The 27120-nt window shown below is 59.3% G+C and overlaps 2 protein-coding genes across 12 annotated transcripts, besides 13 other annotated features; one reads left to right on the top strand and one right to left on the bottom strand.

Annotated features, from left to right (window-relative positions):
- Positions 219–1712: a transcriptional cis regulatory region, noted in NCBI's record as "candidate enhancer chr7.3567 targeted for multiplex CRISPR interference". NCBI's record gives its function as "positively regulates GIGYF1 gene expression with high confidence in K562 cells {active_cell/tissue: K562}" and the evidence as "EXISTENCE:mutant phenotype evidence [ECO:0000015][PMID:30612741]".
- Positions 368–527: a silencer, noted in NCBI's record as "silent region_18462". NCBI's record gives its function as "represses an Ori minimal core promoter by ATAC-STARR-seq in GM12878 lymphoblastoid cells {active_cell/tissue: GM12878}" and the evidence as "EXISTENCE:reporter gene assay evidence [ECO:0000049][PMID:35858748]".
- Positions 786–15529, top strand: GIGYF1 (GRB10 interacting GYF protein 1). 11 transcript variants are annotated; one of them, NM_001375766.1, is made up of 28 exons: positions 786–926; positions 5481–5734; positions 6318–6444; positions 6521–6585; positions 6729–6832; positions 6926–7055; positions 7153–7248; positions 7420–7531; positions 7630–7738; positions 7990–8030; positions 8217–8387; positions 8603–8856; positions 8957–9062; positions 9555–9692; positions 9890–9987; positions 10142–10313; positions 10420–10586; positions 10699–10799; positions 10879–11016; positions 11118–11218; positions 11404–11486; positions 11592–11732; positions 11806–12024; positions 12259–12446; positions 12554–12714; positions 12801–12964; positions 13043–13172; positions 13265–15529. In NM_001375766.1, the coding sequence occupies exons 5-28, from the start codon at positions 6798–6800 to the stop codon at positions 13315–13317; spliced, it is 3108 nt and encodes a 1035-aa protein (NP_001362695.1). In that variant the 5' UTR covers positions 786–926; positions 5481–5734; positions 6318–6444; positions 6521–6585; positions 6729–6797; the 3' UTR covers positions 13318–15529. The 11 variants fall into 11 exon arrangements, 10 of the variants coding, with proteins under 10 accessions (NP_001362695.1, NP_001362692.1, NP_001362697.1 ...); NR_164719.1 differs by having other exon boundaries at positions 10420–10582; positions 10696–10799; positions 13043–15529; NM_001375763.1 differs by having other exon boundaries at positions 13043–15529.
- Positions 968–1067: a silencer, noted in NCBI's record as "silent region_18461". NCBI's record gives its function as "represses an Ori minimal core promoter by ATAC-STARR-seq in GM12878 lymphoblastoid cells {active_cell/tissue: GM12878}" and the evidence as "EXISTENCE:reporter gene assay evidence [ECO:0000049][PMID:35858748]".
- Positions 1238–1357: a silencer, noted in NCBI's record as "silent region_18460". NCBI's record gives its function as "represses an Ori minimal core promoter by ATAC-STARR-seq in GM12878 lymphoblastoid cells {active_cell/tissue: GM12878}" and the evidence as "EXISTENCE:reporter gene assay evidence [ECO:0000049][PMID:35858748]".
- Positions 3120–3289: a silencer, noted in NCBI's record as "silent region_18459". NCBI's record gives its function as "represses an Ori minimal core promoter by ATAC-STARR-seq in GM12878 lymphoblastoid cells {active_cell/tissue: GM12878}" and the evidence as "EXISTENCE:reporter gene assay evidence [ECO:0000049][PMID:35858748]".
- Positions 15679–15808: an enhancer, noted in NCBI's record as "active region_26381". NCBI's record gives its function as "activates an Ori minimal core promoter by ATAC-STARR-seq in GM12878 lymphoblastoid cells {active_cell/tissue: GM12878}" and the evidence as "EXISTENCE:reporter gene assay evidence [ECO:0000049][PMID:35858748]".
- GNB2 (G protein subunit beta 2) lies at positions 15867–21296 on the bottom strand. Its single transcript, NM_005273.4, has 10 exons — positions 21113–21296; positions 18714–18859; positions 18463–18501; positions 18237–18343; positions 17621–17684; positions 17376–17538; positions 17218–17284; positions 16737–16938; positions 16422–16638; positions 15867–16341 (listed from the first exon to the last, which is right to left on the bottom strand). The coding sequence occupies exons 2-10, from the start codon at positions 18768–18770 to the stop codon at positions 16235–16237; spliced, it is 1023 nt and encodes a 340-aa protein (NP_005264.2). The 5' UTR covers positions 18771–18859; positions 21113–21296; the 3' UTR covers positions 15867–16234.
- Positions 18697–19276: a silencer, noted in NCBI's record as "silent region_18458". NCBI's record gives its function as "represses an Ori minimal core promoter by ATAC-STARR-seq in GM12878 lymphoblastoid cells {active_cell/tissue: GM12878}" and the evidence as "EXISTENCE:reporter gene assay evidence [ECO:0000049][PMID:35858748]".
- Positions 19287–19526: a silencer, noted in NCBI's record as "silent region_18457". NCBI's record gives its function as "represses an Ori minimal core promoter by ATAC-STARR-seq in GM12878 lymphoblastoid cells {active_cell/tissue: GM12878}" and the evidence as "EXISTENCE:reporter gene assay evidence [ECO:0000049][PMID:35858748]".
- Positions 20197–20276: an enhancer, noted in NCBI's record as "active region_26380". NCBI's record gives its function as "activates an Ori minimal core promoter by ATAC-STARR-seq in GM12878 lymphoblastoid cells {active_cell/tissue: GM12878}" and the evidence as "EXISTENCE:reporter gene assay evidence [ECO:0000049][PMID:35858748]".
- Positions 20477–20686: an enhancer, noted in NCBI's record as "active region_26379". NCBI's record gives its function as "activates an Ori minimal core promoter by ATAC-STARR-seq in GM12878 lymphoblastoid cells {active_cell/tissue: GM12878}" and the evidence as "EXISTENCE:reporter gene assay evidence [ECO:0000049][PMID:35858748]".
- Positions 21117–21296: a silencer, noted in NCBI's record as "silent region_18456". NCBI's record gives its function as "represses an Ori minimal core promoter by ATAC-STARR-seq in GM12878 lymphoblastoid cells {active_cell/tissue: GM12878}" and the evidence as "EXISTENCE:reporter gene assay evidence [ECO:0000049][PMID:35858748]".
- Positions 21547–21626: a silencer, noted in NCBI's record as "silent region_18455". NCBI's record gives its function as "represses an Ori minimal core promoter by ATAC-STARR-seq in GM12878 lymphoblastoid cells {active_cell/tissue: GM12878}" and the evidence as "EXISTENCE:reporter gene assay evidence [ECO:0000049][PMID:35858748]".
- Positions 21637–21766: a silencer, noted in NCBI's record as "silent region_18454". NCBI's record gives its function as "represses an Ori minimal core promoter by ATAC-STARR-seq in GM12878 lymphoblastoid cells {active_cell/tissue: GM12878}" and the evidence as "EXISTENCE:reporter gene assay evidence [ECO:0000049][PMID:35858748]".

The following is a 27120-nucleotide window of genomic DNA, read 5'->3' as shown; positions in this document are numbered from 1 at the left end:
TGGCTCACGCCTGTAATCCCAGCACTTTGGGAGGGCGAGACAGGCGGATCACTTGAGTGGTCAGGAGTTCTAGACCAGCCTGGCCAACAAAAATAAGCCAAACGTGGTGGTGTGTGCTTGTAATCTCAGCTACTCGGGAGGCCAAGGCATGAGAATCACTTGAATCCGGGAGGCGGAGGCTGCAGTGAGCCGAGATCGCGCCACTGGACTGCAACCTGGGGGACAGAGCAACACTCTGTCTCAATAATTAAATAAATAATTAAAAAAATAAAGAGGCTCCTGAGAGTCAACTTATTTGCCTGAGCCACTTATTTCACACATCCCAGGACGCCTGATGAAGGGTTCTGGATTTTATTGTCTCCTGTCATCCAGGCGGGCTTCCTGGAGGAAACCGGACCGCCAGGGAGGCCGCGGCCTCGGTCCCAGAGGTCGCGCGTCGCGGGGCCGGGGGAGGTGGGGGAGAGGAGGCCGCTCTGGGGCCGATCCCGCCCGCAGCTGGGGGCCCCCGTCACGTGACCAGCCGGGCGCCCAGGTCACGTGTCGGGGCGGGGAGGGGGGGGGCTGTCGGGGGCGACGGGCGTCCGGGCAGTGGCGCGCGCGGCACGCGAGCAGCGCACGAGGAGAGGTGGCGCGGGCCGGAGCCGCGGAGGGAGGCGGCGGCGGCGGCGGCGGCGGCGGCGGCGGCGGCGGCGGCGGCGGCGGCGGCGGCGGCGGCGGCGGCGGTGGAAGGGGCGGCCCCGCGGCCCCGCGTCCGCGTCACGTGGTGCGAGGCGGGCAGCCATCTTGCTACAAACACAAACACAGAGGAGCGGCCGCCGCGGGAGCGCCAGCGCCCCCTCCCCCGCTGCTAGCCGCCGTCGCCGTCCCCGGCCCCCGCCCGCCGCGCGCCGCCCACGCCCCGGGACCGGACCCTCGCGCCGCCCGCGGTAAGCGCCCAGTGGCCCCGCGGCCCCCGGCCCGCAGCCCAGCCCCGGGGCAGGCCCGCCCCCGACGCCGCGGCGGCCGCGCCGAGCCCGCGAGCTAGAGAAGCGCCGGAGCCAGCGCGCGGGCCGCCAGCGAGGACCCTCCCCCGTCTCCTCCCCGAGGCCGCCGCAGCCCGGTGCGTCCTCCCGCTCTCCCGCCCGCTCCGGCCCATCCCCGCCGCCGGGACCCTCCCCCAGAGCCGGCCAGCCTCGGGGAGGCCCCGGGAGGCCGGCGCCCGGCTTAGGGGGCGACCGCTCGCCCCCCTCGCACCTGGCGCCCCTCCCTGAAGGGCACGCCGTCCTCCCGGGCCGGCGCGCTGCCTTCCACCCCCGCGCTCCTAACGGTCGCCCCCGGGCCCCTGCCAAGCCCTGCCCTGGGCCGCCTGGGGGCCCCCGACCCTAGCGTCCTAGGGTGGCCGGGCCCCGCGCTTCCCGGAGTTCTCCCCAGCGCGCCTTTGGGTTCCCCTCGGAACGAGCTGGGCCTTGCGGTTCCCCAGGTCCAAGCGTTCCACGACTTTGGCCAACATGGAAGCCTTGCCCTCCACCCAGGCACCTCGCCTGGGTCCTCCTCACCTCTGTTTCCTTTCGCTCCGGCGATCTTAGTGCTGGGTCATTGGGGTCTCCTTCTTCCCAGTTGCTCGGCCGCGGGAAATACCTTCCTTAGCAGAGACTGCTTGTCCTCCCCGTCCCAGGCCAGGCCCTTCTCAGCTCATGCCCCTCCGTGCAGCAGCTCCCTGGCCACAGCTCTCACACTTTGCCTTAAAAAAAAAAAAAAACAAAAAAATTTCCGAGTAACTTTTTAAAAGCCCCTCGTCTCTCTTCTCTGTTATACAGTCATTACTCGCATTCCCGGTCAGACTCCAGGTCTGTTGCATCCTAGTGCTAGGAACTAGGAGATGCTACATAAAGACTTGTTAGCTGGATTGGATTTTTTTTTTCCAGCCACCCAAGCCTTACTTCCCTCCTGCCTCTCAAAGTGTCGTTCTGGAAGATCGTCAGCTTTCCCACCCTCTTGTGCACTGCCTCTTCGAGTCTATATAGAAGTTTCAATTTAGAACCCCGCCAACCCCTCGCCTTTGGCATGGAAACACCATCGGTGGTACCAGTAAGGGTCTCTCCTTTGCTGCCGACATGGGGGATTTGGGGTTCTTTCTCCTTCCCATCTTTCCTGTGCCCTTTGCAGACCTAGGCTAGCCACCCTCCACCAGGCTAGCCAGCTCCAATCTGATTTTCTTAGATTGTAGGTCTTGGTCCCCCAGCGGTCTGTCGTGCCATTGGGAAGGATTTGAGGGTAGACCTGGCCTTGGTGTCCCTGCCATTGCCTGGGGACCAGGGGCCCTGAGGGTCCCACGTGGTGGTTAGTCAAGTGGACCATGTGCTTAAACTTCTGGACTAGCTTTTTCTGCTGTTGGACACATCAGTCTTGTGTTCGTGATCTGATGCGTTAGCCCTAACTTTTACATCTGCTATTGGAATTTGGGAATTAAAGAAAAATAGCCCACTTTAGAGGAGAGAAGATGAGAGGAGGAGGCTAGATGAAGGATGTTGAAAGTCTAACAAATGTAAAATGGCTTCAAACTCACAGAATAATGCTTGCGAGTTTGGGATGGTTACTGCTACCGTGCGCACCTCCAGTCTTGCATAGTGTCAAGGATGTCGGGGCACGCTGTCGGAGCAGCTTCCTCCTTCTTTTCCCTGGCTGGAGCCCAAGGCTGGGCAAGTGGGCAAAAGGGATCACAGGAGGTAAAGAGTGAAAATCCTTTGAAAACTGTTAACTTGTAGACAATTGCCAAGCGGTGGTGTGATTTGCTGGGATGGCTCAGAGAGGAGAGAGCTGGGATAACCGACCAGCCGCGAAGAATGCGGGTTTGCATCTCTTTTTTAAGCCTCAGCGTCCTCACCCTACCACGCTTGGAGAATCTCCATCCTGAGAAAGGGCCAGGTCCCCTCCAGCAGGCCTGGGGCTGGGCGGTTGTTCCAGTGTTGAGGAATTGGGGACTGTGCTTCTGTTTAAGTGGCTCTGTTCTGTGCCAAGGCACAGTGCTCTGTGTTGGAGCTAATTTTAGGGGTGATGGAGTGAGGAGATAATGTTCTTAGCTGAATGTGCACTGGGACCGCCTGTTCTCTGTCTTTTCTTTCTCTCTTGAGTTCTGAGCCCCAGAGAGCAGGCTCCCTTTCCCGCGCGCCCTGGCGCCTACTGGAGCACCCGGGCCCAGCGTGTCCTCGCCCCTTGTCTCCGGCAGGGGGCAGTCTTTCAAAAGCATTGATTCAGATGCTGGGGGAGTGAGGGTAGACAGGCCCGAGAAAGAGAAGGGGTGGGGAAGGGGCGAGGAGCCGAAGTAGGCCGAGGCTTGAGGGCAGGGCCAGGGCGGGGGACAGGCTGGAAGGGGCCTGTGAGAAGGAGACCCTGAGCTGAGAAAGCTCAGCCGGGTAAGCTGAGACGGGCAGGTGGCAGTACCCCAGCCCCCGCCACCTCCTGCTCTTACCTTCATTGGACAGGGATCAGATACCTGGCCCTGAGAGCTTGCAATAGACAAACTTAGGCAGTTTTTCTTAAAAAAAAAAAATCTATTCTTTTCTCAAAGATTTTCTCCTGGCAGGATTTCAGATTTCCCTCGTGGGACAGTGTAATTAGGGAATGATGTCCCTGCTGTTCAGAGAGGAGAATGACCCAGCGTGCACACACCTGCCTTCCCTTGCCTTCCCCTTGGCCCAGTAGACCCCCAAGGGCTGTGCCCATGCTCGTGGCGCAGAGGAGGGTGTCTCAGCACTGGCGCACTTGGTATCTGGAGTCACATAGCTCTTGGCTGTGGGGCTGCCCTGTGCACCCCCTGCCCAGTGGTGACAACCCAGAATGTCTCTAGACTTGGCCAAGAGCCCCCTGAGGAGCAGAGGTGCCCCCAGTCCAGAACCTGTTGGAGGGTGGGAGCCCCATGGTGGCCTGCAGGTGTGCCACTAGTTCCTTTAGTCCAAGGAAGGGGCCAGGCACCATCAGCTTCCGGCACCAGACCCTGCTGTGGGGGTGCCTAGAGAGTTAACCTCACTCTCCTGGTTTCTTCCCAAGAAGGCGGGTGGCATGGGCTTTTTCCTGCTCTGGGCCTGCTCTCTCCCCTGTCTTGGTGTCGCTGTCCTCAGTCTGCATGAACCATTCCCCCTTTGTGTGCCCCTTGCAGCCAAGACACAGCCAGGATGGGTGACTTGAGCCGGAGGCACCTAGGAGAGCTGCCCTTGCTGCGCCTGGCAGGGGGCAGTGTGAGGCCATCGCTTTAAATTTTTTTTTTTTTTTTTTTTTGAGACAGAGTCTTGCTCTGTTGCCCAGGCTGGAGTGCAGGGGCGCAATCTCAGCTCACTGCAACCTCCGCCTCCTGGGTTCAAGCGATTCTCCTGCCTCAGCCTCCCGAGTAGCTGGGATTAGAGGCACCTACCACCAGGACTGGCTAATTTTTGTATTTTTAGTAGAGACAGGGTTTTGCCACGTTGGCCAGGCTGGTCTCAAACTCCTGACCTCAGGTGATCTGGCTGCCTTGGCCTCCCAAAGTGCTGGGATTACAGGCATGAACCACCACGCCTGGCCACTTTTTCTTTTTTAAAAAATGTTTAGAATTGTTTCTGTAGAGTCGTGGTCTTGTTCTGTTACTCAGGCTGGTCTCGGACTCCTCTCTTCAAGCCTCCCACAGTGCTGGGATTATAGGCATAAGCCATTGTGCTGGCCAGGTGGTCCCTTTTCTGTTCTACTCTCTCCCACCCTCATGCCTCCAGGATGAGCTTCTGGCCTTCTAGAAGGAATGAACTGGAGGAGGCCCAAAATGGCCTCTCCTGAGGCTGATTTGAAGGAATGTGGGGTGTTTTTCTTGGAGTGGGGAAAACTTAGGTATGCGGTGGTTATCTCCAGATACCTTTTGTTCCCTAAAGCTTTTTTAAAAAAATGATTATTGTGGTAAAATATACAACAAAATTTGGAGACTTTAACTGTCTCTAATTGTGCCATTCTGTGTTACTAAGTACACTCACATTGGTGTGCGGCCATGACCACCAGCGGCCCCAGGATCCCCTCCTCAGTTGAGGCTCTGGACCCTTCAGCAACAGCTCCCTGTCCCCTCAGCCCCTGGTGGCTGCCCTTCTACCTTCCTCCCTCAATGAGTGACTGCTCTAGAGACCTCATGAAAGAGAAGTAAGGGGTAGCTCTCCTTTTTTGGCTGGTGTGTTTCTCTTAGCGTGATGTCCTCAAGGCTCATCCAGTCCCCAGATTGCTCTAGGTGGCCACCTGCAGTCAGTGACAGGCTGGTGGCTTTTCATGTCATGGAACACACCACCACTGGAGCATCCAGCCGAGGCAGAGGAAGGAGAGGTCCCAGGGGAGGCCAGCCTGGCCTTGGGTTGCCTCTGAGCCCGGTGTTTCCCCCTGGAGTGCCTGGACTCTGAGCAGGCCTCGGCTTGTCATGGGCTGCTGGCTCAGCTGGGGCTGATGGCCTTTCCTCCTCAGCACCCTGGTTGAACCCGCTTCCTCTTCTTTCCCAGACTGTGGCGTCCTGGAGTTGATGGGAGCTGCAGCACCAAGCCGGGCCAGCCTCCCTCCCAGCCAGTGACAACACCGCAGCACCTGGACCCCGCCCACCCGCTTGAGTCCTCTGCCTGGGGCCCCAGGGATGCGCCTCCTCCTGAAAGTCCCCTCCATCCTCCCTTAGAGGAACAGGCTGCCGCCGCGCCCCCATCAGCCTCCATTGCCCTGACCTTATTTCCACCTGATGGTGCCAGAGGCTGCTTCCCAGCTGGTATCCTGAGATCCTCGTTCCCTTGGTGGCTTGGTTGTTTAAGCCTCCATTATTGATTGGGGGCGGTGGTCTGGGTGTGATTCCTGTGGGGGAAACCAGCCCGAGGTGCCTTGGCTCAGGCTTGCCTGCCTGGAGTCCTTGTCGTGTACCCGTCTGTGGCCCTAGAGTCACCTCCTGCTCCTTTTCACTGGGTTTCTCCCCAGACCAAGCCCCTGGATTTGAGCTTCTGAGCAGCCAACTGATTTTTTTCATGAGGGAAAGAATTTTGCTCCTAGATTTATTTCTAATCCTTTTCTCCGTAACTGACCTTTTCTCTGTAAGCTATTTGTGGCTCTAGTGGGTTTTTGTTTGCTTGCTTGTTTTTGTTTTATCTTTGCCCTGAACGTCCATCCTGGCCTCGGCTGCCTCCCTCCCCGAGTTCTTCACTACACCTCCTGTCTCAGCCTCCCAGAGAGGGTGGCGAGGGTGCTGATGCCCAGAGACACCATCCGGCGAATGGACCTCTCCTGTCATGCGGGGCAGGGCAGGGCTGCCGGCAGAGCCATGTCCTGAACCCTCCCTCCTCCCCCCTGCTCTCCTTAAGGGTCTTTCCCAGATGTGAAGGTCCCTCCCAGGCTCTACTGAGGTCAGACCAATTCCCAGTGGCTTGGGTACCCTCGTTCACTCCAGCACCAGCCCCTGCCCTCCTTCTTCCCGGGCCAGGCTGCCAGGTGAGCCCCGGGCCAAGGGTGGTTGCCCTGCTGAGGCCGAAAGGACTCGAGCTTCCCATCTCCTCGCCTCCCCCAGGTCTTTCACCGTCTGGACTCATCTCTGGGTAACTCATGGTGTGAGTGGCCACGTGGCTGGCTCAGGTGAGTCCTTTTAGACCCCAGGTGACCCACCAGCTAGTCCGGGGCCCATTGTTGTGCCCACTAGGATGTCCCCCATGGTGTCCTCCCTGCGCTTTAAAGTTCTCCTTCGTGTGCTGTTCTTCATGGCCCCTGTTCCCCCACAGGTGTTTGGACAGTGAACGCCAGGTCCCCTCCTCCCCACCCCCGGCCTCTCAAACACGCCCAGCCCCACGATGGCAGCAGAGACACTCAACTTTGGGCCTGAGTGGTGAGTCACTTGTGCCTCGGCTGCCGTGGAGATTCGAGAAAGCACAGTCAGGCTGCCCTGACCTCTGTCTTCTTCTCTCTGTGTTGTGTCCAGGCTCAGGGCCCTGTCCGGGGGCGGCAGCGTGGCCTCCCCACCCCCGTCCCCTGCCATGCCCAAATACAAGCTGGCTGACTACCGTTATGGGCGAGAGGAAATGCTGGCTCTCTACGTCAAGGAGAACAAGGTGGGTGCGTGGGCGAGGGGGGTTGGCGGTGGTGGCCTCTGCCTGTGGAGGGGATCTGGCAGCATGTGGTGTCTTGGCTGTCCCAACCCACTGCCAGGTCCCGGAAGAGCTGCAGGACAAGGAGTTCGCCGCGGTGCTGCAGGACGAGCCACTGCAGCCCCTGGCTCTGGAGCCGCTGACTGAGGAGGAACAGGTGGGACCGGGCCAGGAGCTGAGGCTGCGGGAGCCTGGGAGGGGAGGCCATGGGTTGGGTTAGGAGGAGAGGGGCCAGCGCTGAGGAGACAGGCGGGGAGGGTGCTGTGGGGTGGGGGTGGAGGTGGTTGGGTGCCTGGGTCCTCACTCCCGCCCCTGGCTCCCTCCTCAGAGAAACTTCTCCCTGTCAGTGAACAGCGTGGCTGTGCTGAGGCTGATGGGGAAAGGGGCTGGCCCCCCCCTGGCTGGCACCTCCCGAGGCAGGGGCAGCACGCGGAGCCGAGGTAGAGGGGTGATGGCGTGTCCTGGGGACGGGCAGATCTGGGCCCCTGACTTCGAGAACGTGCAGCAGGTTTCATTGTGCGTCTGGCCTCTTCTCTAGGCCGCGGCCGTGGTGACAGCTGCTTTTACCAAAGAAGCATCGAAGAAGGCGATGGGGCCTTTGGACGAAGCCCCCGGGAAATCCAGCGCAGCCAGAGCTGGGATGACAGGTGGGGCGGGGAGGGGGCATGGCGCAGAGCCGGGCAGGCCAGGGAGGGGAGGCCTGGGCCCTGTCGCTAGAGGGTAACAGAGGCCCACCAGATAAGCCCTGTCCGAGATCCCGGTGCTCCTGACCCCTGGTTTCGTTTGTCCCCTTCCTCCCTCCACTGCCTCAGGGCACAGTGGACAAGGCATGGGGCGGTTGCACAGGGTGGCAGGGGAGGCTGTACTGTTTCTGACCCACACGTTTCCCCTGCTGCAGAGGCGAGAGGCGGTTTGAGAAGTCAGCAAGGCGGGATGGAGGTACGAGGCTGCTGAGGGCGGCGGCCGGGGCGGCAGGGAGGACCAAGATGGGTGGCCCAGTCTGGGGGTGCTTATTTCGGAGGTGTTGGGGGCAGGAGGGCCTGGAGCTGGCCCCCCCAACGTTTCTTGAGGGTCCAGGCACCACGCTGCCTTTCTAATAACTGCCCCTGTCTTCCCGTCTCCCAGCACGATGTGGCTTTGAGGAGGGAGGGGCTGGCCCAAGGAAGGAGCACGCCCGCTCAGACAGCGAGAACTGGCGCTCCCTACGGGAGGAACAGGAGGAGGAGGAGGAGGGCAGCTGGAGGCTCGGAGCAGGGCCCCGGCGAGACGGCGACCGCTGGCGCTCCGCCAGCCCTGGTGAGATTGGGGCCTGGTAGCATTGGCGGGGGCAGTGGGGAGCAGGAACTGTAATGAGAGGGTGGGCTCCTGTAGCCACGGGGAGGGAGCAGAGGCTGGCTGGTGTGGGAGTGGCCGGGACAGCAGCCCTGGAGGTGCTCCGTGAGCTGCAGCAGAGGGGGCCGCTGGCTTCGCTTGGGTACCCACTCTTCTTCTCCCTGACTTTTCCTGTGCAGATGGTGGTCCCCGCTCTGCTGGCTGGCGGGAACATGGGGAACGGCGGCGCAAGTTTGAATTTGATTTGCGAGGGGATCGAGGAGGGTGTGGTGAAGAGGAGGGGCGGGGAGGGGGAGGCAGCTCTCACCTGCGGCGGTGCCGAGCGCCTGAAGGCTTTGAGGAGGACAAGGATGGGCTCCCAGAGTGGTGCCTGGACGATGAGGATGAAGAAATGGGCACCTTTGATGCCTCTGGGGCCTTCTTGCCTCTCAAGGTATCTGTGAGGAGGCGAGGGTGGGAACCTGCCCTTCCGGGGTCCTCTTCCTCCCCACCCACCCCAGCTGTTCTCTGCTCCCCACCCCGGCCCCATGCAGAAGGGCCCCAAGGAGCCCATTCCTGAGGAGCAGGAGCTGGACTTCCAAGGGTTGGAGGAGGAGGAGGAACCTTCCGAAGGGCTAGAGGAGGAAGGGCCTGAGGCAGGTGAGCCGCGGGGTGCCCAGCGGGCCTGGGGCTGGGCCGGGCAGGCACTGGTGTTCTTTGCCGGGCTGGGCATTGGCTGCCCACCTACCTGTAGAATCAGGCTACTTAGATCTGGAAGAAGAGTGCTGAGAGGTGGGGAGGAACCAGGGGGTAGCAGAGCCATGTCTTCAAGGCAGTGTACCAGATAGAAATCAGGCGTAATCAAAATGACCTTTGAAAGTCCCTTGAAGAAGCTGTAGAACCTGGAGTGACGTCTGCGGTGTTGTGTGGTGTTGTGCGATGTTGTGATATGTTCCTGCCGCGTCTGGCAGCGTGGAGGCGAGGGTCAGGGCACCGCATTCCCTCTGCCATTAGTTGAGTTGACCCAAGTGAAGTGGTGGACTCGGCCTAAGGGAGTGTGACCCGCGGTTCCAGCCACACTCAAGGGCTTGTGCTAACTCGCGTGGCAGGCCCAGCCCTTGGTTCTGAACTCTGGCCATCTCCCTCTTCTAGGTGGGAAAGAGCTGACCCCACTGCCTCCTCAGGAGGAGAAGTCCAGCTCCCCATCCCCACTGCCCACCCTGGGCCCACTCTGGGGGACAAACGGGGATGGGGACGAAACTGCAGAGAAAGAGCCCCCAGCGGCCGAAGGTAGGAAGGGAGGATGGCCTACCTCCCGGGTGCGCTGGGGCTGTGGGAGAAAGTGCTCCCCACTCGTGGGGGTGGGCACACAGGGCATTCACATTGAGGAGCCATGGCAAGAGCGTGGTGTTCTGGAGTGAGAGTAGGCGAAAGCTATCTTGTCTCCTCCCCGCCCTTCTTTCCACCTCCTATCTCATGCCTTCCAGATGATATTCGGGGGATCCAGCTGAGTCCCGGGGTGGGCTCCTCTGCTGGCCCACCCGGAGATCTGGAGGATGATGAAGGCTTGAAGCACCTGCAGCAGGTGTGGGGGCCTGAGAAAGCGGGAGGGACCCTTCCCACTTCTGACCTGACCTGCTTGGCCCCAGCCCCGGCCCCAGCTCAAGCTCCATCCCCATCCCCATCCTGATGTTGCTGAGATTGGCAGCTGAGCCTTTCTTCTTTTTCTGGGCATCCAGGAGGCGGAGAAGCTGGTGGCCTCCCTGCAGGACAGCTCCTTGGAGGAGGAGCAGTTCACGGCTGCCATGCAGACCCAGGGCCTGCGCCACTCTGCAGCCGCCACTGCCCTCCCGCTCAGCCATGGGGCTGCCCGGAAGTGGTTCTACAAGGACCCACAGGGCGAGATCCAAGGTACCTGTGTGGGATGGGAGGGCTGCTCAAGGCCGTTCTGGTTCAGGGTGTCTCTGGCATACCCTGTGACCCCAGTGGTTCTCCCGCTCCCTCGCTCCCTGTCCAGGCCCCTTCACGACACAGGAGATGGCAGAGTGGTTCCAGGCCGGCTACTTTTCCATGTCACTGCTGGTGAAGCGGGGCTGCGATGAGGGCTTCCAGCCGCTGGGCGAGGTGATCAAGATGTGGGGCCGCGTGCCCTTTGCCCCAGGGCCCTCACCTCCCCCACTGCTGGTGAGCCGCTTCTCCCCTGCATGGAGGGACAGGGTGTGAGGGGTGCCGGCAGGAGTCCAGCAGAGTCCCCTCCTCCCTGCTGGGGGCACTGGCCGAGCTCTCACCTGAGCAGGGAAACATGGACCAGGAGCGGCTGAAGAAGCAACAGGAGCTGGCCGCGGCGGCCTTGTACCAGCAGCTGCAGCACCAGCAGTTTCTCCAGCTGGTCAGCAGGTATGGGGGGCCTGGGGTGGGCTGGGAGAAGGCCCGGCGCTGGCTCTGTGGCCCACCATCTCCACTGTCCCATTTGCAGCCGCCAGCTCCCACAGTGCGCGCTCCGAGAAAAGGCAGCTCTGGGGGACCTGACACCGCCACCACCGCCGCCGCCACAGCAGCAGCAGCAGCAGCTCACGGCATTCCTGCAGCAGCTCCAGGCGCTCAAACCCCCCAGGTGCGTGGTGCGTGCGAGCCCTCAGGATACAGGGTGGGGGGGGGATGGGGGCAGACCAGAGATGGATTTGGGGTCCTAAGAATCCACAATTTGCTCCTCAGAGGCGGGGACCAGAACCTGCTCCCGACGATGAGCCGGTCCTTGTCGGTGCCAGATTCGGGCCGCCTCTGGGACGTACATACCTCAGCCTCATCACAGTCAGGTGTGTGGCCTGACTGGTCCCCACCCCCAAGGCAGTCTCCGGGTGAAATGGGGTCTGGGGTCTGCTCCCCACCCCCACACGCCCCTAGCTGCCATTCTGGCTGGGGAGCCCACTGCTGCGGCTGGACTAGATCAGTGGGCCCAAGTGCCCACCTGCAGCCGCCTCTGCCCCCCTGCCCCCTGCAGGTGGTGAGGCCAGTCTTTGGGACATACCAATTAACTCTTCGACTCAGGGTCCAATTCTAGAACAACTCCAGCTGCAACATAAAGTGAGTGGGCATCCTGGGGCTGAGGCCCTGGGAATGAAGGGTGGACCGAGGCAGGCCCCAGGCTGTCCCCTGCAGCTCTCCCCTCTGATGGGCCACTGGTCTCAGTTCCAGGAGCGCAGAGAAGTGGAGCTCAGGGCGAAGCGGGAGGAAGAGGAACGCAAGCGTCGAGAGGAGAAGCGCCGCCAGCAGCAGCAGGAGGAGCAGAAGCGGCGGCAGGAGGAGGAAGAGCTGTTTCGGCGCAAGCACGTGGGTGCTCCCAAGCCTCAGCTGGCTGGGTGGACAACCCTCGCCAGGTCCCCTCACCATGTCCCCCTCTTAGGTGCGGCAGCAGGAGCTATTGCTGAAGTTGCTACAGCAGCAGCAGGCGGTCCCTGTGCCCCCCGCACCCAGCTCCCCGCCCCCACTCTGGGCTGGCCTGGCCAAGCAGGGGCTGTCCATGAAGACGCTCCTGGAGTTGCAGCTGGAGGGCGAGCGGCAGCTGCACAAACAGCCCCCACCTCGGGAGCCAGCTCGGGCCCAGGCCCCCAACCACCGAGTGGTGAGCAGGCCGGGAACCTCCCGGGCTCCCCCTACAGTTTCCAGGGTGGCACAGGGAGGGGGATACTGAACCCAGACTTGTGCAGCCCCAGCCCCAGTCCCAGCCTCTCCTGTGATGGCAACAGCTCTTGTGGCCCTCACCTCACCTGTCTCCCTTTGCCACCTAAACAAGCCTCCCCATCCGCTTTTCTGGGGTGCCTTTGTTTGAGCCACTCTGATCTTCTGCCATCTGTAGCAGCTTGGGGGCCTGGGCACTGCCCCCCTGAACCAGTGGGTGTCTGAGGCTGGGCCACTGTGGGGCGGGCCAGACAAGAGTGGGGGCGGCAGCAGCGGCCTGGGGCTCTGGGAGGACACCCCCAAGAGCGGCGGGAGCCTGGTCCGTGGCCTCGGCCTGAAGAACAGCCGGAGCAGCCCATCTCTCAGGTGGGCGTGGCACCTGGAGGCTCCGGGATGGCCCTGAGGGGGAAGGTGGCAGACCCCCCCAACCCCTGCCAGCTGATTTCCAACCCTGACTCACCCTCCCCCTTCAGTGACTCATACAGCCACCTATCGGGTCGGCCCATTCGCAAAAAGACGGAGGAAGAAGAGAAGCTGCTGAAGCTGCTGCAGGGCATTCCCAGGCCCCAGGACGGCTTCACCCAGTGGTGCGAGCAGATGCTGCACACGCTGAGCGCCACGGGCAGCCTGGACGGTGGGCGAGCGGCTCCCAGGAGGTGGGCGGGACCTGGGTCTCCAGACCCGGCCAGGGGGCCCTGACAGCCTTCGCTCATCCTGCAGTGCCCATGGCTGTAGCGATCCTCAAGGAGGTGGAATCCCCCTATGATGTCCACGATTATATCCGTTCCTGCCTGGGGGACACGCTGGAAGCCAAAGAATTTGCCAAACAATTCCTGGAGCGGAGGGCCAAGCAGAAAGCCAGCCAGCAGCGGCAGCAGCAGCAGGTGAGGCAGCCGGCACCAGCAGCTGGGGTGGGCTTGCCTGGTGCCTCCTGACCTTCACCCTCCTCTCCGCTGCCTTAGGAGGCATGGCTGAGCAGCGCCTCGCTGCAGACGGCCTTCCAGGCCAACCACAGCACCAAACTCGGCCCCGGGGAGGGCAGCAAGGCCAAGAGGCGGGCACTGATGCTGCACTCAGACCCCAGCATCCTGGGTGAGCTGGGCTGGGGCAGGAGCGGGACTTCCTTGGCACAGGGCAGGAGGAGCCCAGGAGAGAGCTCAGACGCAGCTTCTCCCCGGCTTCAGGGTACTCCCTGCACGGATCTTCTGGTGAGATCGAGAGCGTGGATGACTACTGACCAGCCCGGACCCCCAGCCCCTGGGCTGTAGGCCAGGGCAGCCACAGCGGCGTGGACCGAGGGTCCCAGCCTGCAGGCTCCCCGCAGAGAGCACAGGAAGAGGCAGGGGCGGGGTCCCCAGCACTTGTTACAAACACACGATGCACCTTAACTCACCCACCACGAGGCACTTTACAGACTGGGGGAGGGGGTTTTTCTTTTTATTTTTTTTTTTAATTTTAAACGACTGAAGAAAACATTAGGAGAGGCAAAAATATTGTTAAAAACTAGACTCTAAACACCCCTTCCTGCTGTGAGGATAGTGGGTGTGACAATGGAAGGTCCACAGAGGTTTTTGTTTTTTGGTTTTTTTTTTTTTTTTAAGAAAAAAAGATGAAAAATGAAAAAAAAAATGGTTAGGAGGCTGAAAGAAAAAACACACTGTTATTTTGGGGCAGTGGGGACACAGGCCCCGTGGACCTGTCCTGCCTGGCCCCCAAGGCCATACTTACCCCCCAGAAGGCGGGCCATGGGGTAACTGGAAGCTGGGGGCCAGCAGTTTGCACAGGAGGCCTGTCTGAGCCCCACCCGCCAGACCTGTTGTGAGCAGCTCCTGTCACTGAGGCTGGCTGAGGTGTCCGGGGTGGGGCCAAAGTAGCCCCTTGGCTTCGCTGCTTTGGGGGACAGTTGCACAAATTGGACGAGTGGCCCCAGCTCTCTGGCTGCCATCTTGTGCTGGCCGAGTAGACGGGAGGGGCCAAGCCGTGCCAACCTCTCTGGCTGGCAGGGTGGGGCAGCAGGACTCTGGTTCTGGTGAGGGGCGTCTCCCACTGCTGCCATTTTGGGGGACACCCTGGGTTTGAACCTGAAAGCCCCAGCTCTCTGCCTTGCCACGTGAATGTATTCTTTGGGCCACAAGCCCCCGCCTCACCCCTGCCTGAGCTGCCTCACCCCTGTGAGCGGCGGGGGTGGATGATTGCTCCAGAGGCTGCAGAGAGAAGGCTGAGCTGTTTCTCCAGTGAAGGGGGCAGGAGGAGGGGCCTCAAAGGCAAGGAGTGGGTGGCTTTGGGCTTAGGGTTGCAGTAGAGGGGCTGCCGCCCGGGGCCCCAACCTGTAGCCAGCTCGTAAGATGTGGACCACCCAGCTCTGCACCTGACCCTTCCGCTGACCAAATGGGAGAGGAGCAGGTGGCCTTCCGGGTCTGATATGATGCGCTTTTTACCGTTGGGTAAGGTTGGGGTGAAGAGAAGTGTGCGGCTCCTGGGTCAGAGGAGGCTGCCCCTTCTATTGCTCACCCACTTCTTATTCCCGGTCCCCTACTTGGGTTCGTCTCCGCCCATTTTGGGTTTTGTAACAGTTTTGTCTTTTGGGTTTCTCATCCAGCTCCTCCCATTGACCTCATTGCTCAGAGTGCAGTATTAGGGCAAGGCTTCGCCACTGCCTCCCTCCATGAATGTATTTCTCCCTCCTGCCCTGGGGACATGGGGAGTGGCCCGTTTCTTTCCCCATCTAGTCCCAGAAAGATGGTGTTTGGTTTTCTGTTGTTGGATTTTTTTTTTTTTTTTTTTTTTTTTGCACCAAAGTGGCAACTAGGTCAGTGTTGGGGGATCAAGCTGGCCTCGGGGTGGGGGGCCCCCACCTGCCTCTCCCTGGTTCCCACAGTGTTAGCGTCCCTGAAAAGACAATATTCTCTCTAAAGCAATAAGGGGTGACGGGCCGGGGGGAGTGTTTGCTGCTGCTGGCCCCCAGCTCCCCTTCCCTCTTGCCAGGTGTGGGGGAGACTCCTGTTGTGACTGAATGTAACCCCCCCACCCCTGCCGCAGCCAATGCAGGGGAAGGGGGACACTCTTCCTGTCTCTTCTCCCCAGCTAAAGAGACTTTGGACTTAGGGGGCCCATGAGCCTGGAGAGGCCTTAACCCTGTGAGGAAGTATAGGGGGAGCCCTCTCCCACCCCCATCCCCTTCTGAGAGTGGTCAATGTTTACAAGCCCCTGAGCCCCCCTGCCCAGGGACTCAGACCCTGTTGCTGTCCTTCCCCGGCCCCGGTCTTCCTGGGCCCTCGCTGCTCCCCTGCCCTTCCTGGGGTTGGGGTGGGTGCAGGGGTCACCGTGTTCCCTGTCTGCCTTGTACCCACAGTCTCCCCGCCCCCTCTCCACCCTGTGTGACTTCCCTCTCTTTTACCTGCTCCTGTAAATACTCCCTTCTCCCAATAAAACTTGGTGTGTGTTCTCCCGTTCCGCCTCCACTGCTCGTTATCTGGGGAGAGCCATGGGGATGAGTGGCTCTGCACAGAGCTGGGAACTAGGAGCTCTGAGCAGTGCCCGCCTGGTCAGGCTGGCTCTGGTCAGCAGCCTGACGGGGGAAACCATGGTGAGGGCTGCTTATCCGAGAACCTCTGGACGGAAGGCTCTGGGCTGGGGCTTCAGCTTTGCTCTGAGGGAGAGTGGGGACCCCACCCCCAGCCCCAGCTGCCTGGCAGGCCCCATACCTTCCCCACCATCCACCCCCTCAGCAGCCCTCAGGCAACAAAGTCCAGAAACAAGGAGAACACAGCAAGGGCAGAGACCAGGTACAGAGTTGGAATTGGCTCCTTTATGGAAAAACTGAAAATATAATAAAAATTAAAATAAAACCAGTTTTAAAAAAGCCAGCCCCTGGGGTTTCCACCTCCTGCCTCCGGCCCTCCAGAGGGGTGAGGCCCCAACCCCAGGGCAGCAGAAGGATGAGGGCCTCCTGCTCCTCCTCTTCCCCCATTCCATCCCCTTCTTATCTCCACAGTGGGGGCCCCGGGAGGAACCAAACCTGGGTGGGAGGGCAGGGACCCAAGGCCCCGTGGCCCGGGGAAGGGGGCTGGGATTGCGCCAGCCCCGCAGCCCTGGCCTGTAGTGTGGGCATGGGCAGGGCCCCTCCTGGCCTGGGCCCAGTGGGGGTGGGGCCATTAGTTCCAGATCTTGAGGAAGGAGTCCCAGGAGCCCGTGGCCACAGCCATGCCATCGTCGGTGACCCCGAGGCAGCTCACGCGGTTGTCGTGGCCAGCGAGGACTCCTGTGAAGAAGAGAGAAGTCAGAACCCATTGGGCCTGGGCTCCAGGTCCCTGCCCACCCAGCCTGGGCCCCAGCTGTCACCTGCACGGTCGCCCTTCATGGCATCCCAGATGTTGCAGTTGAAGTCGTCGTAGCCAGCGAGCAGCAGCCGTCCGCTGCGCGAGAAGGCAACAGAGGTGATGCCACAGATGATGTTGTCATGGGAGTACATGAGGAGCTCCTGATCGGCCCGCAGGTCGAAGAGGCGGCACGTGGCGTCGTCAGAGCCGGTGGTGAAGGCGTAGCCGTTGGGGAAGAACTGCAGGACACGGGACCCAGATGGGGTGAGGGTGAGGGTGAGGAGCAGGGCCGGGAGCCTGGTGGGGAGGGCCTGGCCTAGCTCGCCCCAAAACTCACAGCCACTGCATTGATGTCGGATTCATGGCCGATGAAGGTCTGTCGGCACATGGAATCCCGCACGTCCCACAGCTTGATAGAGGCATCACAGGCGCCTGACACAAACGTGCGGCCATCGGGGGCCAGGGACAGGGACATCACATCCCCACTGTGTCCAGCAAAACCCACTGTCTGCTGGCCTGTCTCAATGTCCCACAGGGCACTGGAGAGGTGACAGGAAGAAAGAAAAGATAAGAGACAGGGCGAAGAACAGAGTCCCTGTTCTCCCCGCCCCACCACGTGAGCCCAACCCTGTGGAAGGGTCCAGGGAGGCTCTTCTCAGAGCCTTAGGTGGGGAGGGGACGCATCCCTCCCTGACCCCCTTAGCGCCCACCAGGAGAGGGAGGCTACGGTGCATGCTGCATGTTGAGCACTGGGACGGTGGCCCCTGAGGCAGGAAGTGTGGGTTTGCCCAGACTGCCCAGCCCTGGCAGAGCCTCACCAGGTGGTATCCCCAGAGCTGGTGATGATTTGGTTGTCATCCAGGAAGCGGCAACACGACAGGTACCCTGGGGAAGGAGCTGGTCAGCCAGGTCTCCACACGGAGGGCAGTGCACCCCCCAACCCCAAAAAGGGCCCGAACTGGGCCAGGCCCCTCACCAGTGTGGCCAGGCAGCTCCCGGCTGACCCTGACGTTGCCCTCGCGGGTCTTGAGGCTGTAGATGGAGCAGATGTTGTCCAACCCCCCACAGGCCACAAAGTTCCCTGAGGGCGCGTAGGCACAGGTCATTACCCAGGAGGAGCGCAGCGGGATGGCGTGGACCTGCGGAGCAGGGGAAGCGCCGGGGTCAGAGCCAGCCAGGGCCCTGTGGCCCTGCCCCACCCCGCAGCCCGCGCCACCCTACCTTGTTGGTGGTGTAGCTGTCCCAGATGATGAGCTTCCCATCCTGGGAGGCGCTGACCAGCAGCCTGGTGGGGAACGGTGTAGGGAGAGCAGAAGGGTGGCGTGAAAACAAGACACACCCCCTTCCCTTTGGGTGGGAGAAGGTAGGGTCTCTCTCTGTTGTGCAGGCTGGAGTGCAGTGGCACCATCACAGCTCACTGCAGCCTGGAACTCCTAGGCTCAAGTGATCCTCCCACCTCAGCCTCCCCCGCATAGCTGGGACTACAAGGTGAGCACCACCACACCCAGCTCATTTTTCAATTTTTAGTAGAGCCAGGGTCTCACTATGTTGCCCAGGCTGGTCTCAAACTCCTGAGCTCAAGTGATCCTGCCCTGGCCTCCCCACGTGCTGGGATTACAGGCGTGAGCCACCTGAGAGACAGTCTCCAGCTGCAGCCCACAAGTTCTCACCAGCATGGTCCTGCCTGTCCAGGTCTGGCGGACATGTCTGGGAGTCACCGTTTTTCCAGACGTACGCTGGGTATTTTGGTGGCCTGCTTACTCCGCCAGATCTGAGGCTGCTCCCACGGCCTGCTAGAAAGTCGGCCCACAGCGCCAGCCCGCGCACACACACACACCTTGAGTCGGTCCCCCAGTGCATGGCATAGATCTTTGCCAGGTGCCCACGGAGGGTCCTCCGGGTCCTCATCTGGATTCTCCCCACTGGGTCCAGCCCAGCTGTGATCTGGAGGTAGAGACAGAATGCGCTCGGGGAGGCCCAGGCAGCAGGACTGCAGAGGGCAGCGGCCTCTGATCCTTGCCCCTTCAACCCCTAGTTACGCTCTGGCCACCAAGTGCCCTCACCTGGGTCAGTGTTGAGTCCCCACATGCTTTTCGGGCATCCTGTAAGGGATGGCAGAGCCAGAGAGACGCGAGAGAAGACAGGTTGGGGAGGAAAGGGAGAGAAGAGAACAGAAGACAGGAGTGGACAGGGTCAGATTCTGAGCCATTAAGGGGCCCTCCCTCCCCCTTCCCCCACCAACACCCTCACCCAACCCGGTCCAGGGCACCGGGCGGTGTACACATGAATCGCCCGCCCCGCACCAGGCCCTCACCCGGATCTGGTTCCGGAGCTGCTCGGCCTCCTGTCTCAGTTGCTCCAGCTCACTCATGGCGCCGGGCCCGTGGGGCAGGGTTGGGGGCGGCTGGGGGCCGCGGGACGGGGGCTGGGGGAGGCAGCTCCTGGCCGCTGGCCCGAGGCCTGGGGGATGCAGGGCTGACGTCAGGCCCGAGGCCGCCGGGGAAGTGGGGAGAAAGGCGGGGTTGCAGCGCGGCCCGGAAGGGGTAAGCAAGGGGAGGGGGAAGGGGCGGCGCGGCCGCCGTCCCCGGGCACAACCAGGGTCTCCGGCACCAGAGACGTCGCCGAGTAAGAGCCGACTTCCCCAATCTTCCTCCCGCCCCCCGGAAACGGAGCGGGAAGTGCAAGAGGAAGCGCAGGGGAAACCCCTCCCTCGGACACAGCCCGGGCAGGACACCCGCGGCAGGAACTGGGGCGGGGGGGGCGGGGGTGTCCCTTCGAAAACAGACCTGGCTTCTGCCCCAGCCCGCACAGGCACCGCCCTCCAAGCACCTAATTTTAAAAGGGGCGGTGCCTCTTGAAATTCACCCCACAAGGCGCACACCCTCCACACACACCCCCAGCTTCGATGGTGGCGGGTGGGGGGAGAGACCAGAGGGGAAAGCTGGGCTGTTCGTGGGGTTGCCTAGGCAACCGTCACCCGGACCGAGAGCACCTCATTGGTGAAATGCCCCCACCCTAGCCCCGTTGCCAAGGCAACCGCATCCACGGCAGAGACCTGTAGGGTGGGTGACCCCACCCCCGGCCCCATCGCCCCCGCCCGACCCAGCCTCCCGCCCTCCCCAGAACCGGCCCGGGTGGCTGTTTACAGGATTTGGGAAAAGCCGATTGGGCGCTAATAGGTTCTGGACGGCTCACCCCGGATAATCCCCGGTCCGGCTGCGCCCCATTAGCCGTCCGCCGCGGGTGGGGGTGACAGCGGCGGGGAAGGCAGCCCCGAGCCGCTGCTCCCTCCAGCGCAGGGACCGCCCGCCCCGCCGCGCCCGCAGAAAGCCCGTGGGAGCCGCTCTCGAGTAATTACGGCTCCGCAACGAGGTCCCCGGCCCCGAGGCGCGGAGGTGCTCTCTCCCAGGCGCGGGCGGGCGGCCCCAGGCGGCCTGGCCGCGGCGCCCTGGACACCCGGGGGGCCCAGCCCGCAGGCTCGGCGCCCGGGCCCCAGGGGCCCGGCTGGCTCCGCTCCGGGAGCCTGAGTCCTTCCCCGCCCGCGGGACACCTGTGCGATCCGGCCGTACACACTGCACTTGGCCGGCCCAGGCGTCCCCCACCCAGCTCCCACTTCCCCCAGGCGCAGGGCGTTCCTCTTCCCCACTGACATTTCCCCTCCTTGTAAGTTCAGCTTTCTACGCCAGTGCCAAGGGGTGACCCTCAAAATCGGGGGATGGGGGGTGCGGGCAGAACTCCTTACTCTACCCAACCCCCAGGCCCGCACAAAGCCTCTTCCACCTACTAGCAGCCCAGGCCTGGCGGCACCGCCGGAGGCCCAGGGCAGAAGGAAGCACGGCTGGAGGAAGAAACTGGGGGCGGGGGCGACGTTCTCAGCCCTCGGTCCCCATCACCCCCCAGGGCCCTCAGCAGCCCCCAGACTCTAGGGATATAGCAGCCGGCGCTCCATAGAGAAATGAGGGTGCAACCGCCTCCGCAGGTCTGGCGGGGCTCAGGAGAGTGACGGGAGGGTCCCTGGATCTGGCAGCTGGAAGGCGCGGGCTGGTGCGGCGCTGCGAAGCGCAGTGGGCCTGGCCCTCCAGCCCCTACGACCTCCATTTTGCCTAAAAGAAAGCTGGGCGGGGGGCGGGCGCCTGGGAGCTGGGCTTGGGGTGAGGATCTGTAAAGGGAATAGGGCGCCGAGGGCTCCAGTTTCGGCGAGTGGGGCCAGAAACCACGGGCAGCACCCAAATCGTGGGTAGGGTGGAGACGAAAGGAAGGGTGGCGCGCGGCCTTGCCTGCTTCTCCCCGATTTTGGAGTTGTGCAAGGCGAGGGCCGGCAGGGGTGCGACAGTGGAGGACACGAGGGGTGCTCCCCGGGGGCAGGCGGGAGGGTGGCGGTGGGGAAAGGGGGCGGGGCGGGGCCTAGAGGAAGCCCGGAATTTAGCCCCCCAACTTCCGAGGGAGCAAGAGGCAGTCGGGGCTGGGCTGGGGTCTGGGGTCGGGCAAAAACTTCGCTGATGGTGCGGGGAAGCGCACGCACGGTGGGGGGCGAGGGTTCCCCAGTTCCCCTTCCGGGTTTGGGAGCGACCGGGCAAGAGGGGAAGGGAGCGGAGGTCTGGGGAGTTACGTCCGCTCCCAGGAGGCCAGCCCCGGGAGACCGAAGGAAGAGAGGTTCCCCTGGGGGAAATTGGGGCTGGGGGGCGAGAGGACTCCTTTTGCCAGCGAAGGTACCTGTGGCGGTGGGACTCTGCGGCGGAGGTCGCTGGCGGTGCGCGGGCGGCGCTGTCTTCCTCCGCGGCGGAGGCGGCGGCGGCGGCGGCGGCGGCGGCGGCGGCGGCGCGGATGGATTTCCTCAGTGGCCCCAGCCCCGCCGCCAGCGCTGCCTCCCCAGAGCGGAGGGATCCCGCCCGCCAGTGACGCGGCTGCCGCCGCCGCGCCCAGGACCCGGCTGGGCGAGACCAACTGCCTCGCACTTGGGGGAAGCCAGGAGACAAAACCCCACCGAGGGAGCAAAGACGGGCCCAGTCGCTCCCAAGGTTCTCACCCTACGCTTTGTGGACGCAAACCGTACTCAAAGGGTTTGCTTCACGGAAAGGAGTAAGACATCCCCCCTCTGGGACTGGAGGAGGTGGTACTGGCATATGAGGAGGGTGAGACCGCTCGCTGGTCACGTGATCAGCCTCCCGCCCCGCCTGGAATGGGTGGCTCCAGACTGGGAAGGGGAGTTCGACGCCCCAGTTCCCGGTTGGGCCACGCCCCGGCCCTGAGGAGGCCACGCCCCTCACCAGGGGGCGGAGCTAAAGAGACCTGGACGGGGCCGGCCTCGAGGCTGCTGGAAGAAGAAGCGCGATTCCGAGAAAGTCCCCGAGCGGGAGTGGGTAGGGGCTGATGCGGGCGCCCCGGGAATGCCATGAGAAGGGTCGTGTCCAGGCATTTCCTCAGCCTCGCCCACTGGGCCTTTGTAGACCCCCTTTCAGGGCTTGCCACTGAAATAACAACTCATTTATTGAGAGCCACACTTTTTTTTTTTGAGACGGAGTCTCTCTCTGTCGCCCAGGCTGGAGTGCTATCTCAACTCACTGCAACCTCCGCCGCCCGGGTGCAAGCGATTCTCCTGCCTCAGCCTCCTGAGTAGCTGGGACTACAGGCGTGTGCCACCACACCCGGCTAATTTTTTGTATTTTTAGTAGAGACGGGGTTTCACGGTGTTAGCCAGGATGGTCTCCATCTCCTGACCTCGTGATCTGCCTGTCTCGGCCTCCCAAAGTGCTGGGATTACAGGCGTGAGCCACCGCGCCTGGCCCGACACTTATTTTTTAATTGGAGTACAGTGACGCGATTGTAGGTCACTGCCACCTCAATCTCCTCGGCTCAAGTGATCTTCCTGCCTCAGCCTCCCTAGTACCTGGGACCACAGGCGTGCCCCAGCCACCATGCCCAGCTAATTTTTAAATTTTTGGTAGAGGTGGGGTCTTGCTATGCTGCCCAGGCTGACATATGTTAAGTCTCACAATACTGGGAAATTAAGTGCTAACATTCTCCCCATTTTCTTTTCTTTTCTTTTTTTTTTTTTTGGAGACAGGGTCTCACTCTGTCGCCCAGGCTGAAGTGCAGTGGCATGATCTCGGCTCACTGCAACCTCCGCCTCCTGGGTTCAGGCGATTCTCCTGCCTCAGCCTCTGGAGTAGGTGGGATTACAGGCGCCCGCCACCATGCCCAGCTAATTTTTTTTTGTATTTTTAGTAGAGACGAGGTTTCACCATGTCGGCCAGGCTGGTCTCAAACTCCTGACCTCAGGTGATGTGCCCGTCTCGGCCTCCCAAAGTGCTGGGATTACAGGCGTGAGCCACCGCGCCCAGCCTTCTCCCCATTTTCTAATAGTGGAAAGAGACCTGAGGCTGCAGAGTTTAGATATGAACCCAGGCAGCCAAAACTTTACTGTACATTCCAGTTTATCTGTATGAGCCTCTAGATGAACCCCTTCCTCCAGGGACCTTGCCTGTAAAGGGACAAGAACGTAGGTCTAGGCCTCAGTTTCCACATCTGTTAAATGGGGATGTTGACAGCATCTGCCCTCCAAGTCCCGGATTCTTACTGAGAACCCCATCGATTGTGGAAATGCTTTGGGAAGTTCAAGGCAACGAATAGCCTTCACTGAGTCCTTGTAATTTGAAAGTATCAAAACACGCAGCCATAAGAAAGAACGAGATGGGGCTCACGCCTGTAATCCTAGCACTGTGAGAGGCCGAGGCGGGTGGATCACTTGAGGTCAGGAGTTTGAGACAAGCCTGGCCAATATGGTGAAACCCCGTCTCTGCTAAAAATACAAACATTAGCTGGGCGTGGTGGCACACACCTGTAATCCCAGCTACTCAGGAGGCTGAGGCAGGAGAATTGCTTGAACCCGGGAGGCGGAGGTTGCAGTGAGCCAAAATCACACCACTCACTGCACTCCGGCCTGGGCAACAGAGCAAGACTTTGACTCAAGAAGAAGAAAGAAAGACAAAAGAAGAAAAAGTAAAAGAAAGAAAAGGAGGGAAGGAAGGGAAGGAAAGAAAAAAAGAAAGGAAAGAGAAAGGAAGAGAGAAAAAAGAAGAAATCATGTCCTTTGCAGCAACATGGATGCAGAAAAGAGAGAGAGAGAGAAAGAGAAAGAAAAGAGAGAAGGAAGGAAGGGAAAGAAAGAAAGAAGAAACAAAAGAAAAGAAAAGAAGAAGAAATCGTGTCCTTTGCAGTAACATGGATGCAGCTAGAGGCTTTTATCCTAAGTGGATAAATTTCTGCAGGAACAGAAAACCAAACACTGCATGTTCTCACTTATAAGTAGGAGCTAAACACTGGGTACTCATGAACATAAAGATGGGAACAATAGACACGGGGGATTACTAGAGGGGGGAAGGGTTGAAAAACTACCTATTGGGTACTGTACCCCAGGTGACGGGATCAATTGTACCCCAAACTTCAGCATCACAAGATATACCCATGTACATGGGTACATTCATGTGCACATGAGTCAGAATCTAAAAAGATGAAATTATATTTTAAAAAGTATCAAAACATACTCTTCATTTAGTCTCTGTGAAAGACATTACAAATCACTTTTCAAAAACAATTGTTTTTTCTTTTTTCTTTTTTTTTTTTTTCTGAAATGGAGTCTTGCTCTGTCACCCAGAGCTGGAGTGCAATGGCACAATCTCGGCTTACTGCAACCTCTGCCTCTTGGGTTCAAGCGATTCTCCTGTCTCAGCCTCCCGAGTAGCTGGGATTATAGGAGCATGCCACCAGGCCTGGCTAATTTTTGCATTTTTAGCAGAGATGGGGTTTCATGTTGGCCAGGTTGGTCTTGAACTCCTGACCTCGTGATCTGCCCGCCTCGGCCTCCCAAAGTGCTGGGATTACAGATGTCAGCCACCGTGCCCAGCCTACAATTGTTTTTTCCAAATCGAATATGTTATGAACATAGTAGTTGTCTTTGTAATGGGTACACACACTCACACACACAGAATGATCTGCCTGGTGGGGCAGGGAATTGTAAACATGCCAAAGGGAAAATGAAAAAAGAATCCTGTAGGTTTTCATTATTTTAGGCAATTATGTCCATATCACTTACAAAGCTATTGCCAAATCTGTCTAAGGAAGCAGAGTTTGAAGGTGGGCCGGGGGGGACATCTGGGAGAAATTCGAAAATGGCATAACAGAGCTCTCAATATGAGAAACAAAAGCCCAATATTTTTTTAAAGAAAATATAAACAATCGTATTCGTAGTTAGATGCAAATTCTATTTATGCATACCTGCCAATTCAGTGACATATAAGCAATAGATAACAGATGTCAACTACACATGAGAATTTGGGAGGGACCTCAGAGATAATTACGTTGATTTCCTCAATCTGTAGATGGCCACGATGACTTCCCTAAAGTCACTTAACAACAAGCAGCGCAGGACTACAGCACAATTTTGTCAATCTCAAGAGGGCATGTGTGCTGCTTTGGTTTCTGTGCTAATAAGCTTTCCTGTTTTAACTCATTCCGTTGATATTTACTGAACCGGATGATGTATCAGGCACTGCCCTAGGCAATGAGGATGCAACCTTGAATGACAGGTGCACCCTCCTCATGGAGCTTGCAATCTATAGAGGAGGCAGATGGGCATTGAAATATGGATTAGGGTCAGGCGTGGTGGCTCACACCTGTAATCCCAGCATTTTGGGAGGCAGAGGTGGGCGGATCACTTGAGTCCAGGAGTTCAAGACCAGCCTGGGCAACATAGCAAGACTACGTCGTTAAAAAAAAAAGAGAGAGAAAGAAAGAAATACATGGTGGCGTGCGCCTGTAGTCCCAGCTACTCGGAAGGCTGAGGTGGGAAGATGACTTGAACTCCTGAGGCAAAGGTTGTGGTGAGCTGAATTTCTGCCACCGCACTCCAGCCTGGGTGACAGAGCCAGGCCCTGTCTCAAAACAAAACAAAACAAAACAAACAAACAAAAATGAAAAAATAACAGTGCTTGGCCTGGAGGTATTGTTTACTTCGAGCAGAACATTTGAGATGGAACATATTCTGGGAGGAAGATCAAGAGTTTAAGATTGGGAAGTTTTAGGTTTGAAGTGCCTATGGAGAAAATTTTTTTTGGTGTTTTTGGTTTTGTTTTTTTTGAGACAGGGTCTCACTCTGTCACCAAGACTGGAGTGCAGTGGCGCAATCACAGCTTGCTGCAGCCTCGACCTCCTGGGCTGAGATGATCCTCTCACCTCAGCCTCCCCAGTAGATGGAACTACTGGTGCACACCACCATGCCTGGCTAATTTTTTGTATTTTTTTTTGTAGAGACAGGGTTTTGTCATGTTGCCCAGGCTGGTCTCGAACTCCTGGCCTCAAGCGATCCGCCAGCCTCAGCCTCCCAAAGTGCTGGGATTACCGGTGTGAGCCACCGCACTCAGCCGGATCTCGCTCTGTCGCCCAGGCTGTAGTGCAGTGGCGCAATCTCGGCCCACTGCAACCTCTGCCTCCTGGGTTCAAGTGATTTTCCTGCCTCAGCCTCCTGAGTAGCTGCGACTACAGATACGTGCCACCAGGCCCGGCTAATTTTTTGTATTTTTAGTAGAGACGGGGTTTCACCGTGTTAGCAAGGATGGTCTCGATCTCCTTACCTCGTGATCCACCTGCCTCAGCCTCCCAAAGTGCTGGGATTACAGGCGTGAGCCACTGTGCCCGGCCTCTTTTTTTGTTTTTTTTAACTTTTATTTTAGATTCACGGGGTACGTGTGCAGGTTTGTTATATGGGTAAATTGTGTGACACTGAGGTTTGGAATACGATTGATCCCATCACCCATGTAATGAGCACGGTACCCAATAGGTAGTTTTTCTTTTTCTTTTTTTCTTTGAGACAGGGTCTTGCTCTGTTGCCCAGGCTGGAGTGCAATGGCACGATCTCAGCTCACTGCAACCTCCGCCTCCTGGGTTCAAGTGGTTCGTCTGCCTCAGCCTCCCAAGTAGCTAGGATTACAGGTGTGCACCACCACACCTGGCTAATTTTTGTATTTTAAGTAGAGATGGGGTTTCGCCATGATAGCCAGGCTGGTCTTGAACTCCTGGCCTCAAGTGATCTACCTGCCTTGGCCTCCCAAAGTGCTGGGATTACAGGCGTGAGCCACCATGCCTGGCCCCATTAGGTATTAATAGTTTTCAACCCTTGCCCCATCTTCTTCCTTCTTCCCCCTAGTGGTCCCCAGTGTCTATTGATGCCGTCTTTATGTCCATGAGTACCCAATGTTTAGCTCCTGTTTACAAGTGAGAACATATGGTATTTGGTTTTCTGTTCCTGCTCTAAATTCACTTAAGAGAATGGACTCCAGCTGCATCCATGTTGCTGCAAAAAACATGTTTCTTTGTTTCTTCATTTTGTTTCTTTTTATGGCTGCATAGTATTCCATAACATACATGTACCATTTTCTTTATCCAGTCCACCATTGATGGGCACCTAAGCTGAGTTCATGTCTTTGCTCTTGTGAATAGTGCTGCAAGGAACATACGAGTGCATATTTCTTTCTGGTAGAAGGATTTTTTTTCTTTTGGGTAAATACCCAGTAATGAGATTGCTGGGTCAAACTGTAGTTCTATTTTTAGTTCTTTGAGAAATCCAGGAGAAATGTTTAATAGGTGGCTGTAGACACAGTCCTGGAATTCAGCAGAGAAATCTGGGTTGGAATAGAGCCCCAAGAGTGAGTGGCACATTCTAGCAG

This window comes from Homo sapiens, chromosome 7, assembly GCF_000001405.40.
Source record: "Homo sapiens chromosome 7, GRCh38.p14 Primary Assembly".
Taxonomy (NCBI): Eukaryota; Metazoa; Chordata; class Mammalia; order Primates; family Hominidae; genus Homo; species Homo sapiens.
This window is presented reverse-complemented; position numbering and strand designations above follow the sequence as displayed.